At 36.6% G+C, this 17966-nt stretch overlaps 1 protein-coding gene across 5 annotated transcripts in view; it reads left to right on the forward strand.

Annotated features, from left to right (window-relative positions):
• The window catches only part of KCNH8 (potassium voltage-gated channel subfamily H member 8), a 387133-nt gene that overhangs the window by 124187 nt on the left and 244980 nt on the right, over positions 1 to 17966 (forward strand). For all 5 annotated transcript variants that reach the window (XM_017005698.3, NM_144633.3, XM_017005700.3 and 2 more), the window contains one exon: positions 8502 to 8633. In XM_017005698.3, coding sequence (XP_016861187.1) covers positions 8502 to 8633 — 132 coding nt within the window. The remainder of the gene's footprint in view (positions 1 to 8501; positions 8634 to 17966) is intronic.

Below are 17966 nucleotides of genomic sequence, written 5' to 3' on the forward strand. Positions count from 1 at the left end.
AGTGGCATTTTCATGAATAATTCTTTAAGAATGTCATGCTACAATCCTATAGCCTCTTCTCCCACACTTTCCTACATTTCTCCTTTACCCTGCTCTCCTTTTTCTTTTTTCCTATAGCATTTAAGACCTTCTAATAAACTATATAATTTGCTTATATATTGCATTTATAATTTATTGTTTTTCACTCCAATTAGAATATACGTCCTTTCAGGGATAAGACAGAGATCTATTCTGTTTTGTTCACTGATGTATCCAAACAGTTAACAATAGTGCCTGCCATTGCAGGCACTCAATAAATATCCACTGAATGAATGAATAACTTTATGTCCAATTGCTTGCAATGTAATTTCCAAATGTTTTCTTTTGGATCCTAAACTAGATAATCCCAGAGTCCCAGATCCTCATAACAATGTTGAGTTCATACAGACGTTATGTTTATTGGAACCAACAATTATTCTCATTGCTCTGCAAAGGCCATAGATTCCTCCAACTAAAGCCTTGTGCAATTAGAGAGGGTTAACTTAATCCTCAAATTCTCATTTAAAGCAAGTTATTTCTCACTAAACAATTGCAAATTTGAAGAAATCTTAAATTGCTTTTCTTAAAGAAAAGTATCAAGAGAGTGGGTTTGTTTCAGTGCCTTGTTCTCACAAAGAAGTGCTTAGAAGTAGCAATCATGAAACCAAACCTGTCAGATCAGACATTTGTCTGCTCACTACCAATTGTCCATCACATGTGGCCTTCTTTTCTCCAGAGGATCATTGAAAAGATAGAGCCATAAGTCAGACATTAATTGGGGCTTAGTTCTCTTTGCTATTTTCAGTCTTAGCAGATGAATCCAGGGAATGTTACTCTGCATCCTACACAGAGCTGCCATGGTATACAGATCACCATTTCTGAAGCTTCCTAAGAGAGCAAGAAGCAAAAACATACCGGGAGGCAGAAGCATGCAGCAGCTTTGTGAATGAGGTCAGAATATGGTGCCTCATATGTTAGCAGCTTAGGTAACTACACTTAGATACTGTAATCACAAAGCTTGTATAAGTACATTCTCTTTGTCTCAACCTGGGACTGGCAGCAGCACCAGTGGTGTTTTTCTGATCCCAGTCTCATTGGATACTCAAGCAAATTTAAAAATTAACGCCACATATACCTTAATGAAGGATGTTTTTCAGTCTTAAACTAAAATAGCTGAATCTTGTTTTAAATAGTGGTTCTACTCTTATTCCTGGTTTGAGAGTGAAATTCTTTTTATTATAAAAAGGCTTTACTGCACTTTTTTCATTTAAAATAGGATTTTTTTAGAGCATGTATATAATCGTGTCCTATAGTATGTGTAGAAAGGAGAATTAAATTGACTTGAAACTCAATGTTTAAAACATTGTCCATAGAAGAGGATCATTCCCAGAATATTACATTAATAGTAAGGCAAAATTAGAAAATCAAACTCAGACTTGTGTTTAAATTCCATTTCTTCACAGGACTGTTGTGTGACCTGAAGAAAATACTACACATCTCAATCTCCATAATTGTAAAATATAGTTCAGTGCAGTAAAATGTTGATCAGGTTGATCAGTGGGAAATTTAAATATAATACATGCAAGACGTGTTGTACAATGTTAGCACATAATACACTCTTAATAGAATACAGCAATCACTAGGTCCTTGCTGTGTGTGTTGTTTTCAGGGCCTCTTTATCTCCAGTTCTCATTGGACTGTACTCAGTTGTTCCATTTCCTACTATAAAACTATCGCTGCTGAATTTGTGTTTAACTGTACATGGAAACTCCTTTCAACTGTAGGTAAGAATTATCTGTGTTTACCATGGGAACCAATTTGGTTTTCTTAAAGCAAGTATTAGTTCTACTGGTCAATAACCCCAGTTAATTTGTTGAGCAAGGATGTTGGATGTATTGACTAAATCATGTCTTGGGGATATTTTTGCACCTGAAGTTTCCAGGCTCCTCTTGTTCCTAATTATTAGAGATTTCTGAGAGGTGGCTATACATACACCTGGGAAATGAATAAAGTACTTTTATTTAAGGAGAAAGGTAACTTGGATCAAAATGAAAAGAGGATTAAAAACTTGACACGTTTCAATCAGTTAATCATAACTTGATTTCCCTTCCCTTCCCTCCCCTCCCCACCCCTCCCCTCCCCTCCCCACCCCTCCCCTCCCCACCCCTCCCCTCCCCTTCCCTTCCCTCTCTCTCTCTCTCAGTCAGATATTCTGACTTAACATAGCACTTTTCTCAAAAGTTTGAAATGGAAGTATCCATTAGAACATATTTTAAATTATCAAGAATATATAAAAAATTATTCCCCAGAAATATGATCTCATCATTCTTATTGCTCCAGTCTTGAACTCTTTACATCTCTACCTCAAATCACTGGAGTTGACAGAATCCTACTATATATTTCTTCATGCTTATTCTAGAAAACCTGAAAATAAAGATGCTGAAAAGAAAAGGAAATTAAACCATAATTTACAATCCACCATTGTGGATTTTATGTTTATTCTGCCAGTGTTTTTTCAACTCAATATAGTATGCGTATTCTACCCATCTGTTTTTAACGCAAAAAGAAGTTTAAAACACAGTGTGTTTTATTTTTCATTAAACATTGAAATGAAGGGTATCCTTAGCCACCACCCAGTTCAGGGAGCTCTCCAGCTGTGTCAGTTCATCTCCTGTCTACCCCCCACGCTGCCCTCCACTGTTACACAGGGAGTCAGGAAACCAGTGCCATTTACTTTGGCTCACTAGTATCCTGGGGCATTTGGAGGAGGGGTATTGACCCGACGTAAATTCAGTGAGGACTGAGCAAAGACTTGCAGCCTATATGAGCTGCATTGTAGATAGATGGTCCCTGGAAGAAATGTTCACTGCAGATAAGGTGAAGCTTTTACCTCATGTTTTCTAAAGAACCATTACTTTCATCTCTTAGTATAGTACAAACATCAGGAAGGGCTGGTGACGATGCTGTAGAGACTTATTTGCCAAGCAGCTTTGGGTATTCCAGGGAACATTCCCCTCCTTTTTAACATGACACCTTTTTTTAGTTCACCTCTTTGCACGTCCATCACATTCCCGTATTTTCTAGTCCCTTGAAAGACACTTTCCATATTGATTAGAGTCTGGAATGTTGTGCTGATTTGAGCAAACAGTGAAAAGCCGTCAGGTGTTTTTAATCGGGATCCTGTATTGTCAAAGGTTGTTGGCAGTAGCATGGGAGGAAGACTAGAGGCAGGAAGAATACTTTGGAAAAGTGGGCAAGAGATGACTGAAACCGAACAAAACAGTAGCAAATATAATAAAGTGGAGGGGTAACTTGGAGCTTTCTGGTAGATTCAGTTAGGACTGAATTACTGCCCCACTCTTTCTGCTGAAGAAATGAGTGTCCCTTCACCCAGCCACAATTCATAGCAGCCTTGTTTACTCACCTGCAGCTCTTTCCCCACTCCCACCCCAATATGTATATGTGTGTGTGTGTGTGTGTGTGTGTGTGTGTGTGTGTATACATGTATGTATTTTCTCTGGACTAATTTCTAAAAACTGGCAAGCCTGTTATTTTATCATTAAGTAGCACTGAGACAATGGTTGTAGAGAACAAGACTCATCAGACTTAATGTGAACTAGGAGGAACACCTGGAAATGTTTAGGTCACATAACCCTGATGCTCTTAACCCTTGGGATATTATGTTATTGTTGCTATAATTTCAAAAAGTAAAGATGTTATGTATTTATCATTAAAAATTTATTCAAAATCCTGCTTGATATTAGAAACAAGAGAACATCAAATGTGTCCATATCTCACTTTGACCTATTGTGTTATATTGAGCAATGCACTATTTCCCATCATGACAGCACAGTCATTAAAGAGAGTGGGACCACTCACAACTCAGTTTTCCTTATACCTGCACCTCCTTGTATTAAGTTATTAAACCATGAACCCATACTAGAAACATTATTATTAGTTAGCTATTATGAGTTTTTATCTATTGACAAATATATTTTAGTGCTGTCTGGAAAGCATATGAGTTCTCTAATAATTATAAATATTAGCAAAAATTAGTACAGCTACTATGAAGAAAAGTATGGAATGGTCTTCAAAAACCCACAGATAAAACTTCCATATAATCCAGCAATTCCATTACCATGTATATATCCCAAAGAAAGGAAATCAATATATTAAAGAGATATCTGCATTCCTGTATTTATTGCAGCACTATTCACAATATCCAAGTTATGGAATCAACCTAAGTGCCCATCAAGGTATGGATAAAGTGTGATATATATACATAATGGAATATTATTTGGCCATAAAAAATGAAGTTCTGTCATTTGCAGAAGAAACATTGATAGAACTGGAGGCCCTTATGTTGAGTGACAGAAGTCAAGCACAGAAAGACAAATATTGCATGTTCTCATTCATATTTGAGAGCTAAAAAAGTGGCTCTTATGAAGATAGAGGGTAGACTGTTGGTTACCCTAGACTAGGAAGGGGAGGCAGGGGGATGAAGGGAAAAATATCTATAAAGATATTTATTACCACTGAACTGTATATTTAAAAATGGTAAAGATGGGCTGTGCATGGTGGCTTATGCCTGTAATTCAAGTGCTTTGAGAGGCCAAGGTGGCAGGATCCCTTGAACACCGGAGTTTGAGACCAGCGTGGGAAACATAGGGAGATCCCCATCTCTACAGAAAAATTTAAAACTAGCCAGGCGTGGTGGTGCACGTCTGTAGTCCTAGCTACTTGGGAGGCTGAGGTGGCAGGATTGTTTGACTCTAAAGTAGGCTGTGATCATGCCACTGCACTCCTACCTGTGTGATAGAGTAAGACTTTCTCTTAAAAAACAAAAAGGCACAGGTGGTAAACTATGTATGTATGTTTTACCTCAATAAAAAGAAATACACAAAAATATTAGCAAGTCAAATTATCCTGCATCCTTGTTTCCCAATCAAGAAAAAGAAAGTACCAAAATGGAGACAAGGGACATTCCACCAGATTTAAGCTTTTGTGTAACTATTCAATTCCAAAAATAGATTTTTCCATATAAGGTAAAAACCTTGTTTTCTCTCCACAATTGTATTTATCCATAGAAATTAAAGGTGTCATTAACCTAAATCCTGTCAGAGCCTCATCTGTGTTGACACTCTCCAACCCACATGGTAATTACTGCTGCTATATAAAGAAGGAGTTAAAATTCTCATGAAATGTCTGCCCTCTGACTCTGCTCTTATCATTCACATCTCTGAATTTGAGGCTGTGGGACTTGCAGCCTCCCACCTTAACCCTAAGAGAGATTTGTTGCACTGGGCCTGAATTGCTCTTGACTGAAAGAGTTGATCATTGTGCCCACAGGTAAGAGAGGAAGAGCCAGATCCTGGAGAATAGTCTTGAATTATTGCATTCATAAGAGGTGAAAGGTGTCATTAGAAATGCAGGGTGGAGGGCTTGCTGGAAAGATTTAGGAAAGCAGAGAAGCAAAGGATAAGCGAGCATGCTAAGTATAAAGAGTCTTGCATTGAACATGATTGGTAGCTTTTGGCATCTATTATCTTTCTAGAAGATAATGCAGTTGGTATATGCTTTGTGTTCTTCTAAAATTGAGAAAGAAAAGCATAAATATACCTGAATATTCGTAAGATTATTGGTGTGGATAAATCTGGAGGGACAGTTGAAAGGAAAAAAGGAAGGAGGGAGGGAAGGAGGGAGGGAAGGAGGGAGAGATGGAGGGAGAAAGGCAGGCAGGAAGGAAGGAAAGGGAAGGGAAGGAAGGAAGGAGGGAAATGAGGAAGGGAGGGAGGGAGGGAAGGAACAAAGGAAGGAGGGAAATAAGGGAGGAAGGGAGGGAGGGAGGGAGGAGGAAGGGAGGGAGGGAAGGAAGGAAATAGTTTTTATGCCCTTTACACTGTTTCTCTCATAAACTTTTTTGTCATATAGGCACTAGGAAGGTAGACATCAGCCTAGTTCATGTAAAATCATTCCAAAGCTTGAATTTAGAAAGATCCAAAGTAATGAAGTTTTATTGAATTTATAAAATGTTAGTGATCACATCACTGTAACTTAAAAGACAAATCTCAAAGTAAACTTTCAGTTATTCCAGAATATAATGTGAAATGATGGCTGTGCCTCAAGGGCTGATCAGTGAATATTGCCATATCAACAGCTGTTTCCTTGGTTTTCACCTCATGTGGTTTTGGCTCTTTCCAAAATATATTGGTGCACCTATGCAAAGGCTCTTTGGAGACAGTAATGATACTTGTCTGAGTACACAGATAGAAGATTTTCAGGAAAATTAATAGCCTCGGTTATGATTTGGTGATGTTCTTGCAAGGTAATTGACAGAGAGGTGCTTTAAAATGTCAACCAAAATGTCAGATTTCATACCGTTCTTTGTGTCCCCACTATTACTTTCTCTAAGGTCTGATTATTAGTTTAGCCTGATGGCTCTTTTTGTTTCTATCATAGCTACAGCATTGAAAAAGGCTCCCAGTCTGAAATGGTGACCATAGATAAAATTTCAATTAAGAACCATTCTGGGATGACGAGGATAGCAGTGTTTGGCTATGGGTATGGCTCATTTATGAGGCTTCTCCATGAATCACAAACACTTGAGTTGATTTATTGTCTCAGCATTTTTGGGGTCACTGTATTCACTACTGGAGTGAAGGATGTGACAATGTTACAATGAAGGGAACCAAGTTCCAGATGGGTTAATCGACTTCCCTATCGTTTCATGGCTAGTTAGTATTAGAACCATGGTTAGATCCCAGGTCTTCTAGAGCCTGGTAATGAGCTATTGAAATGAGATTGCCATGGCATAGATATTGGGGCAGATGAATGAAATGGGATGCCATAGGGCTAAAAAAAAAAAAAAAATAAGGAGGAAATCATGACTCTAAAACTATTGGGAGAATACAGAGGAACGAGCATATTTTATATTCCATGTGTAACTTATGAGAGCAGCACATCATACATCATCCAACCATTCTTTTAAACAAATACAGCAGCAGCTACGATAAAATAAGACTTTTATATCAGATGGCTCCTAAATATAAATTAGTGGCTTCACCTGGTGTTTAACTGCAGAAAAAAATGATAGATCCCAAGGCTGGATGAATACATAGCTGTGTTGGAAATTATGAGGTCTAATACAGTGTATGCAAGACAACTCAAAATATCAGGGATATTTCTGACCCTCATATTTTTGTCTTATACCCTGACTTTGAAATCAACACCCAAATAAGACAAGAATTCACAGTATTGAAGTCTTTTTCCCCTCATCAAAAGAAAATGAAGGAAAATTATGTATGAATAGATTAATAGTTTAGTTTTTAAGCAACAACAACTTTATCATCATTTTCAAATATTCCTGTCCAGAATGCCTTTCAGTAGGAAATACAGTGCAAGATTTTTTTACATATTTCTAAAATACATATTTTAAAATATATTTAAACATTGAAAATATAAGCTTTAGGCAGTACCATTTGGCTACTATATTTTGAATTTGAATCTTAATGACATTTCTCATGGTTTTTTGCTCAAAAATTGAATGGAATTTGATTATTTCTTCTTCAAATATTTTTTGAAATGTGACATGCTTACTGAAAAATACATGTAAGCATTTAAGAACTGAACACTCCTATGTAAACAGCATAAAGATCATGTAACAAAACTTGACCAGCATCCTACAACTCCCAGACCTGAATGCCTTTCTAATCACAATTTCCCCAAAGTAACCGTTAACCTGACTTTTAACATCATAGATTAGTTCTGCCTGTTTTTGTATTTAATGTAAACAAATTCTTATTGCATTCTATTTGTGTTTACGTATTTTACTTACATTATATTAGTGATATTCATCTATTTGGTTTCAAATGATTGTAAGTCACTCATTCACGCTGATGTATAATGTTGTATTGTGAAACTAAATTTTAATACTACCTGTGTTTAAAGTAGATGTATTAATTTGAATCAGCCAGCAATGTATGAGAGTTTAAGTGGCTGTGCACGCTCCCCAAAACTTGATACTTTTCACCTTTTTTATTTTAGCATTCTGTTGGGCAAGCTTTGATTTTTAAATTGACTAAATAAACCTCTGGCAAACTCATACCAAACAAAGGTCTTTATTGAAGAACGAGTGTGTGCTGGGGGTGGGAAGGGGCAATCTCTCATAAAGTGGAATGCTTCAGCATCAACGAGTTCAAAGAGGAAATGCAGTTTGAATAATGTAAGCAGAAATGTCTCAGCACAGACAAGTGTTTTTGTTTAAAATACTTCTTTATTTTCAGAAAAAGCATTTCCTTTGGAATGAAGAGAGATGTATATAGGATAGAAATTTATGGAACCTGAAAACTGACATTTTTAAGATGGAGGGAGTTGTGGGATTGAAGAAAACACTAAGGGCTTTATTTTTTATTGATGATTGAGATTTCCATAGAGATAACACAAGGCAATGGTTGATTTGTATTTTTTTTTCTTTACTGTTGCAGGGTCTCCATTTTGGTGCCTACTGGATATTGTTCCCATAAAGAATGAAAAAGGAGATGTAGTACTTTTTCTGGCCTCGTTCAAAGATATAACAGATACAAAAGTGAAGATTACTCCAGAAGATAAAAAAGAAGGTTTGTACCGTTTTCAGAAAACATTGACAGATGGAGTAACATTTTGAAATTGTTTACTTAAAAACTCTTGGAGAAAAACATGCATTTTTAATAACAGCAACTGATAAATATTCGTAACTGTTAGCAGTCAGCATTTGGTGCATATTCCAAATCACAGACTCACATGCATTTACATTCTATCGTCTTTATAATAAAGACACACTTGACAGGAACTAGAAGTTCATATTCCTATGCTAATATGAGGAGGATGAGAAAACAGTTTATCACAATGTAAGGATTAACACCACTTCATTGTATTAGGCAAAAATTAATGGATGGGATAAGTGTCTTTAGGAGGATGTGATTTAAAATACATCTCTCCATTTCCTCTAGATTGCTGTAGCTCAAAACTTAGATGTGCGAAGTGTAGTTATGTACAAAGTTAAGAACTCTAGCTTAGTGGTTGTTAGAATAGAATGTTGCAAACAAATGTGAATCCTGTACCTTATTGTATATAAGAATATAATACTTGGTTTTAAGACATAAACAAGCTTTTCAGTTATCTTTAAAGGAGTCTGAGAATTTGTGTTGTTTACCTTGTATCTTCTGGTTATAATTTATTAAGAAATTCTTTGCATTTTGTATAAGCTGACAAAAGTTAACACTGAAAAACTGCTGATATTATTTGTTTTAAACCAAAGTAGGATTCTAGTCACCAGAGAAAAAGCAATTATCCTTTGTGGATTTCTATGTAGTAAGTTCTTTTTTAGAATCAGCTACTTGACATTTCAACAGCTATGTCTTTTTAGGAATGGACTCTTTTATTCCAGCTCTTTTTTAAAATGTGTGTGATTGTTTTCAATACATTATGTTTCTTGAAATGACAACCCAAATGAACAGATATGATAGTTTGGTGCTCTCACTTCTAGCATTTGAAAGCCTTGCAAATGCATGTCTGTTTTGCTGTATATTGGCATGACTAAATTATGTAGTGTATTTTACATATGCAAGGGAAGAGCCATATTAAAATTAAAGTTGCTTGAATTTTAGAGCAAGCATAGTACCTGTCCAATGTAAGTTCCACAAAGATAAGTATGAAAATTGGTGTGTATAGTTTTTGCTTTTAATATTTTCTTTGTAAGATAGAAACACAAAAGGTAAGGATCCTTTGAATAAAATTATTCAAACATGTAAGTATATATTCATATTATGTACATTCACAAATATGTGTGGATAAATAGAAATATAACACAATCCTTAGAAAGAAATACATGACTTTTTTTTGCTTGAAAGAAGGCAGTTTGATTAACCTTTAACTGACTTGTTTGGAATATGAGGACCATGCCTAATGGTTTTATACAAATTCCTTAATTATCTTTGTCTCATGTTCCTTATGTCTCGTGTTAGGGGAGAAATCCCCATCTTGGTGGACTGCAGTGAATAACAGCGGTGAAGTATACCTTTTCATTTAGAGTTTGAGAGAGCTCAATAAAAATACTCATTTTTGCCATCCACGTTCTGAATCAGCTGAAAAAGAAAAATGAGTAGATTGGAGACCAAAATATCACCTTTATTTTTGATGAAACTAATAAAGGAAAACATGAAATATGTCTACCTCCAAGTGGGCTTCCTTCTAGTGAGCTCTAGTTTTAGGCAAAGTTGCCCCTCAGTCACAAAGCAGAGCCTCTCACTGTGTAACTTAATGTCTGGAGAACCAGAGCAGAACAGTTGCTCCCTAAAGAGAGAGAAGACAAAGGGGTCATCCTATACATGTCCATATCACCTTCCAAACTTAATCAAATTATATTCTTCTTCTTTTCCCGGAAATAGCTAAGTTAAGGAGCAGAGAGAGGCTAGCATGTCGCACTAGTAGAGCTGCTGGCACTTGAAAGATTACACCTGTCATTTGGAAGTGAAGGACATCAATTTGAACACTGTGCAACCAATAACAAAGTAATCCAAAATTCTATCTTAAAATGGTGTTAACATTTGTATTCCAATACATGTATTAAATTGTGCTCAATAATATTTTCATTTTGCTTAGGGAACATGTACAATGTAAAGACTATCTCTTGCAAGATTTAAATAAAAAATATCAACAAAACACTTTTAACATTAATTATATTGTGCAAAATATGATTTAATTTTTTGAAATATTTGCTAGTAAGTCCCTAGATATATTTATCTCAACATTATCTCATATAAAAATATTACTTCTAATATATACTGAACACTCAAGAACAGTTTTTTCTATTGCTACCTTATTATAAATGTCCCATAGAAGTATGTAGTATTTTTAGAAAGACAGAGTAACTGTTGTAAGTCACTATGGTTATAAAATGATAATTAAAAATAGCCAACAATCTAGGAGGCCAAGGCAGGAGAACTGCTTGAGCCCAGAGTTTGATACCAACTCGAGCAACATAGGGAGACTCTGTCTTTACCAAAAAAAATATAATAATAAAATAAAAAATAAATTAAAAATTAGCCAGGTCATGGTGGTGCGCACTTGTAGTCCCAGCTATTTGGGAGGCTGAGGTGAGAGGATCACTTCAGCCCAGGAGGTGAATGCTGCAGTGACTGGTGATTCACTCCTGCACTCTAGCCTGGGTGACAGAGTGAGACCCTGTCTCAAAAAAAAAAAAGAAATAAAGAAAAAGAAAAAAAAATATTTTTACCTGCCCTTAATGGAGAAAAACACCTTAAAATTTACCAATTGATGGCATGTCTTGCAGGAAAGACACACCTTAACATATGATATTTTTAAAGCTTCCAAATAAGTGTTTGATTATTAAAATGTCACCATGTAACTGTAGCAGTATTATGTCATAACATTAAAAAAAACTAAATGAGTGCATGACATGACCCAGTGTTGCACCTTCTGCAAATGCATCACTAAAGTTCATCTAAGTTGTAGGAATAAGGTTCATGTTAATTAAATTAATTAATACTGAGGTTCACATGATGGGCTTCATTTAAGAGATATAAATGGCATGGACTTCTATTAAAAATACTTTAATCATTTTTCTATGTTTTGGGGGAGTTTATTTAAATGAGGAAGAACCTGTTTTATAGAAGTGGCTAATGAGGTGTGGGATATAATATAGGCCTTTTATCGATGGACAGCATTGGTGGAAGATGAGCACAAAATTCAAACTACTATTTGTATGTACAATAGCTTTCAGCTGGTGGATCTGCTGGTGTGTGTGTGTGTGTGTGTGTGTGTGTGTGTGTGTGTGTGTGTGAGGGAGAGAGAGAGAGAAAGAGAGAGACAGCCTTCAGCAGGATTCTGATGGTTCTTACCACCTTTAAAACTACCTTCTTTTTTGGCACATAGTTTACTTCTATTCCAAAAATAGTGTGTACACCACTTACTTCTATGTTCATGTCAAGTGTTACTTATGGAGTGAATTTAATACGAGGCCCTGTTTATATCTTTCGGTATCAGTTAGGAAATACTTTGATATAAAATTTGGATTTATATGTCAATCAGCTTGGCAATTGAGGTTCTTTTGTTGCTGATCAGAAATCTTGGCTGGCAGTTAAATATGTCCTTTTTATAAAAAAAAAAAAGAAAAGGAAAGAAAGAAAAGAAAAGGAAAGAAAGAAAAGAAAAGAAAAAGAAAGGAAGGGAATGTCTACTTAGTACAAGAAGCCAGGGTAGGCAAAGTCTTTTTTGGACACCAGGTCCTCGATGGTGGGGAAGGATTAAGAAAAACATTCACAGGGCTGAGAACGGAGGGCCTTTGGTTGGAGTGGTTCAGAGGGAATTGTTTCCTTTGAGTGAAGGAAAATAGCCTCAGCAGGGGGCTTTAATTTTTTTAGTTAATTAAAATTAAATTAATTTAATTAAATTCATTTTAAAAATTATATTTAAAATTTAATGTAAGTTTAAAAGTGGATTAATAATATATTAAGTAATTCAAAAAATATTTATTGAGCAGCCACTCTGACCCCAGCATTGCATTCGCATTTGGAGATGTCAAAATGGAGACAATATGCTTGGAGACATCTTAAGTCTCAGCTTAAATCCTTTCCACTAAATTTTGGCTGTTAGTCCTTCTAGAAGCTGCTACTGTCTCAGGAACTGAGTTTCCTCATCTATAAAATGAGGTACTCATACATATCTCCTACATTTGTTATAGGTTTATAAGAGATAATATATGCAATTCACGTAGCACAGGGCATATAGAATATGCTCAATAAAAGATGTGGTCATGTTTGTTATATTCTATAAGTTTTTATAAAAATAGCTAGCTCTTATTGAGTCTCTGCTTCATGCTAAGTGCTTCACATAGGTGACTTCATTTACTTCTCATAACTCTGTGAAATAAGTATTATTCCTATTCCCATTTATTGATGAATTTAAATGACTTGACAAAGTTGACATAGTAAAAAAAAAAAAAAAATGGTAACCTAGGATTTACACTCATGCAGCCCAACCTCAGAGCCTACATTATGTTTTTTCTCCCTCACTTGCCCTCGGCAAAGTGCTCGTAATCTTATGGTGGACACAGATCCAGTTTTGCGATACAGTATGTTCAGTAGAATGACAGAAATAATAAATTCTTCTCAGACAAGGAAGCAAGATAGAGCGGGTCAGCAAGAGGTAGAGCAGAGTCAAGGAGAACTTCACAGGAGAAATAATATTGAAGCAAATCGTGAAAGATGATTTGTGTGTGGAGTAAGACTGAAAGGAAAGAATGTTAATTTTAGGTGATGAAACAGCAAGTAGTTGACCTTTGTTCATAAGAAAAGTCATGAAGTTGAAGTTCAACCCTAAGGAGTTTAGGTGGTATGCAGATATATTTCAGAGTTAGAACAGCTTGGCCTTGACATAAGAGATGAAGGAAAACGAGATCTTTTGGGACCCTCTTTCTGGTTTAAGGGCTGTTATGAACTGATTCGTGTCACTCCCAAATGTATATATTGAAGCCTTAACCCCCAGTTATCTCAGAATGTAACGGTATTTGAGGCCTTTGAATAATTAAGTTAAAATGAAGTTGTTAGGGTTGCCCCTAATCCAGTCTGACTCTTATGAGAAGAGATTAGAACAAACAAAGAGACACCAGCGGTGTGAATGCACAGAGGGACTGCTGACCATGGGAACAGAACAGCCATATGCAAGCCAAGGAGAGTCCTCAGGAAACCAACCTGCCAAACCAACCTTAATCTTGAATCTCTAACCACCAGAACTGTAAGAAAATAAATTTCTGTTGTTTAAGCCACTCAGTCTGAGGTACAGTCTCCCTTGGTGTCATTGGATTGGTTCCACTACATCCTGAGGATACCATAATCCACTGATGTTTAAATTCCTCATATAAAATGATGTAATATTTTGTATATCCTCCCATATACTTTAAAAAAATCTCTAGATTACTTATAATGCCCAATGCAATGTAAATGCTATGAAAATGATTTTTGTGTTGTATTGTTTAGGGAATAATGACAAGAAAAAAGCCTATACATGTTTAGTTGAAATGAAACCATCCACTATTTTTCTGAATATTTTTGATCCACACTTGGTTGAATCCGTGGATGTGGAACCCGCAGATACAGAAGGCTGACTGCATTTTGTTATAGCAGCCCTAGCAAACATAATTAATGACTTTAATCCAGATGGTAAATGCAGAAGAGAAATAAGTTTCTGAGGAACATTAATGAATTCAGTATTGGGTCTACTGTTTGAGGTTTCTATTCATGTCTTATAGGCAAATAGACATGAGGGTCAGGTGATCAAGAGAGAGTTATGGACTGAAGGCATAGATTTGACAGCCATCAATATATTGATGGTAATGCAAAAAAAAAAAGGTCATAGGTGAGATTCTTTAGGAATACTAAAGAAAAACTTCAAGAGGAGGGAGGAAAGAAGTAGGTCAAGGGTAGGACCCTGGATCATACTAACGTTTGAGGAACCAGGAGGAGAGTATCATTAAAGGAGATAGATTAATAATGGTGAGACATTAGAGAAAAACGGAACCAGACATCATAGAGAAATTAAGTCAGATGAGGACAGAGATGTGCCCATTGGGTTTTTTAATTGAAAGATTACAGGATTGCTGCTAAAAGCAGTTTCAAGAGAGTGCTGGGAGAGAAAGCCAATAATGAGAATCTTACTAACTTTCCAACACTTTGGGCCATCACATTATTAAAATTAAGGAGACACAATTGTAGCACTTTCTTGTATGCTCTTAGCTCAAGTAAGTAGATTTTAAGTTCAAATTATTTAAGAATCAGCTTAATAAGCTCCCCACAGTCCACTTTTTGTTGTTGTTGTTGTTGTTGTTGTTGTTGTTGAGTTGGAGTCTTGCTCTGTTGCCAGGCTGGAGTGCAGTGGCACAATCTCGGCTCACTGCAACCTCCACCTCCCGGGTTCAAGTGATTCTCCTGCCTCAGCCTCCTGAGTAGCTGGGACTACAGGGATGTGCCACCACACCCAGCTAATTTTTGTATTTTTAGTAGAGACGGGGTTTCATCATGTTGGCCAGGATGGTCTCGATCTTGTGACCTCGTGATCCACCTGCCTCGGCCTCCTGAAGTGTTAGGATTACAGGCGTAAGCCACCATGCCCAGCCCCACATTCGACTTTCTAACTACCATTTCACCTTCTAACTTTTTTGAAACTTTGGGACAAGTCAAGCTGCCCTGTTCATTTTCAGCTCACACTCTTCTTTCTCCTTACCCAGGAGAATTTTCCCTCACTTGGAATATATCTTTGTCACCTATTCATCATGAAAATCCCACTTCTTTTCTGTATAGTCAGATTTTCCTGATCTACTTTAGTTCATAGTAAGTGTCCTTCCCTTAAAACACTCTATTCCTTGCTGCTGGAGTCATCTTTCTAAACCTTCTTGCACCGGTGTATCAAACTTCTTTTTTTTTTTTTTTTTTTTTTTTTTTTTTAGTATTAAAGCTAGTTTATTTATTTTTTTAATTATACTTTAACTTTTGGGGTACATGTGCACAACATGCAGGTTTGTTACATATGTATACATGTGCCATGTTGGTGTGCTGCACCCATTAACTCGTCATTTAACATTAGGTATATCTCCTAATGCTATCCCTCCCCCCGTCCCCACACCCCACAACAGGCCCCAGTGTGTGATATTCCCCTTCCTGTATCCATGTGTTCTCATTGTTCAATTCCCACCTATGAGTGAGAACATATGGTGTTTGGTTTTTTGTCCTTGTGATAGTTGGCTGAGAATGATGGTTTCCAGCTTCATCCATGTCCCTACAAAGGACATGAACTCATCATTTTTTATGGCTGCAAAGTATTCCATGGTGTATATGTGCCACATTTTCTTAATCCAGTCTATCATTGTTGGACATTTGGGTTGTTTCCAAGTCTTTGCTATTGTGAATAGTGCCGCAATAAACATACGTGTACATGTGTCTTTATAGCAGCATGATTTATAATCCTTTGGTTATATACCCAGTAATGGGATGGCTGGGTCGAATGGTATTTCTAGTTCTAGATCCCTGAGAATTGCCACACTGACTTCCACAATGGTTGAACTAGTTTGCAGTCCCACCAACAGTGTAAAAGTGTTCCTCTTTCTCCACACCCTCTCCAGCACCTGTTGTTTCCTGACTTTTTAATGATTGCCATTCTAACTGGTGTGAGATGGTATCTCATTGTGGTTTTGATTTGCATTTCTCTGATGGCCAGTGATGATGAGCATTTTTTCACGTGTCTTTTGGCTGCATAAATGTCTTCTTTTGAGAAGTGTGGGTTCATATCCTTTGCCCACTTTTTGATGGGGTTGTTTTTTTCTTGTAAATTTGTTTGAGTTCATTGTAGATTCTGGATATTAGCCCTTTGTCAGATGAGTAGATTGCAAAAATTTTCTCCCATTCTGTAGGTTGCCTGTTCACTCTGATGGTAGTTTCTTTTGCTGTGCAGAAGCTCTTTAGTTTAATTAGATCCCATTTGTCAATTTTGGCTTTTGTTGCCATTGCTTTTGGTGTTTTAGACATGAAGCCCTTGCCCATGCCTATGTCCTGAATGGTATTGCCTAGGTTTTCTTCTAGGGTTTTTATGGTTTTAGGTCTAACATTTAAGTCTTTAATCTATCTTGATTAATTTTTGTGTAAGGTGTAAGGAAGGGATCCAATTTCAGCTTTCTCCATATGGCTAGCCAGTTTTCCCAGCACCATTTATTAAATAGGGAATCCTCTCCCCATTTCTTGTTTTTGTTAGGTTTGTCAAAGATCAGATAGTTGTAGATATGCAGCATTATTTCTGAGGGCTCTGTTCTGTTCCATTGGTCTATATCTCTGTTTTGGTACCAGTACCATGCTGTTTTGGTTACCGTAGCCTTGTAGTATAGTTTGAAGTCAGGTAGCGTCATGCCTCCAGCTTTTGGCTGGAGGATTCCAGCCAAATCTTTTGGCTTAGGATTGACTTGGCAACTCGGGCTCTTTTTTGGTTCCATATGAATTTTAAAGTATTTTTTTCCAATTCTGTGAAGAAAGTCATTGGTATCTTGATGTGGATGGCACTGAATCTATAAATTACCTTGGGCAGTATGGCCATTTTCACGATATTGATTCTTCCTACCCATGAGCATGGAATATTCTTCCATTTGTTTGTATCCTCTTTTATTTCATTGAGCAGTGGTTTGTAGTTCTCCTTGAAGAGGTCCTTCACATCCCTTGTAAGTTGGATTCCTAGGTATTTTGTTCTCTTTGAAGCAATTGTGAATGGGAGTTCACTCATGATTTGGCTCTCTGTTTGTCTGTTATTGGTGTATAAGAATGCTTGTGATTTTTGTACATTGATTTTGTATCCTGAGACTTTGCTGAAGTTGCCTATCAGCTTAAGGAGATTTTGGGCTGAGACAATGGGGTTTTCTAGATATACAATCATGTCATCTAAAAACAGGGACAATTTGACTCCCTTTTTCCTAATTGAATACCCTTTATTTCCTTCTCCTGCCTAATTGCCCTGGCCTGAACTTCCAACACTATGTTGAATAGGAGTGGTGAGAGAGGGCATCCCTGTCTTGTGCCAGTTTTCAAAGGGAATGCTTCCAGTTTTTGCCCATTCAGTGTGATATTGGCTGTGGGTTTGTCATATATAGCTCTTATTATTTTGAGATAACGTCCCATCAATACCTAATTTATTGAAAGTTTTTATCATGAAGAGTTGTTGAATTTTGTCAAAGGCCTTTTCTGCATCTATTGAGATAATCATGTGGTTTTTGTCTTTGGTTCTGTTTATATGCTGGATTACATTTATTGATTTGCGTATGTTGAACCAGCCTTGCATCCCAGGGTTGAAGCCCACTTGATCATGCTGGATAACGTTTTTGATGTGCTGCTGGATTCGGTTTGCCAGTATTTTATTGA

This window comes from Homo sapiens, chromosome 3, assembly GCF_000001405.40.
Source record: "Homo sapiens chromosome 3, GRCh38.p14 Primary Assembly".
NCBI classification, from domain to species: domain Eukaryota; kingdom Metazoa; phylum Chordata; class Mammalia; order Primates; family Hominidae; genus Homo; species Homo sapiens.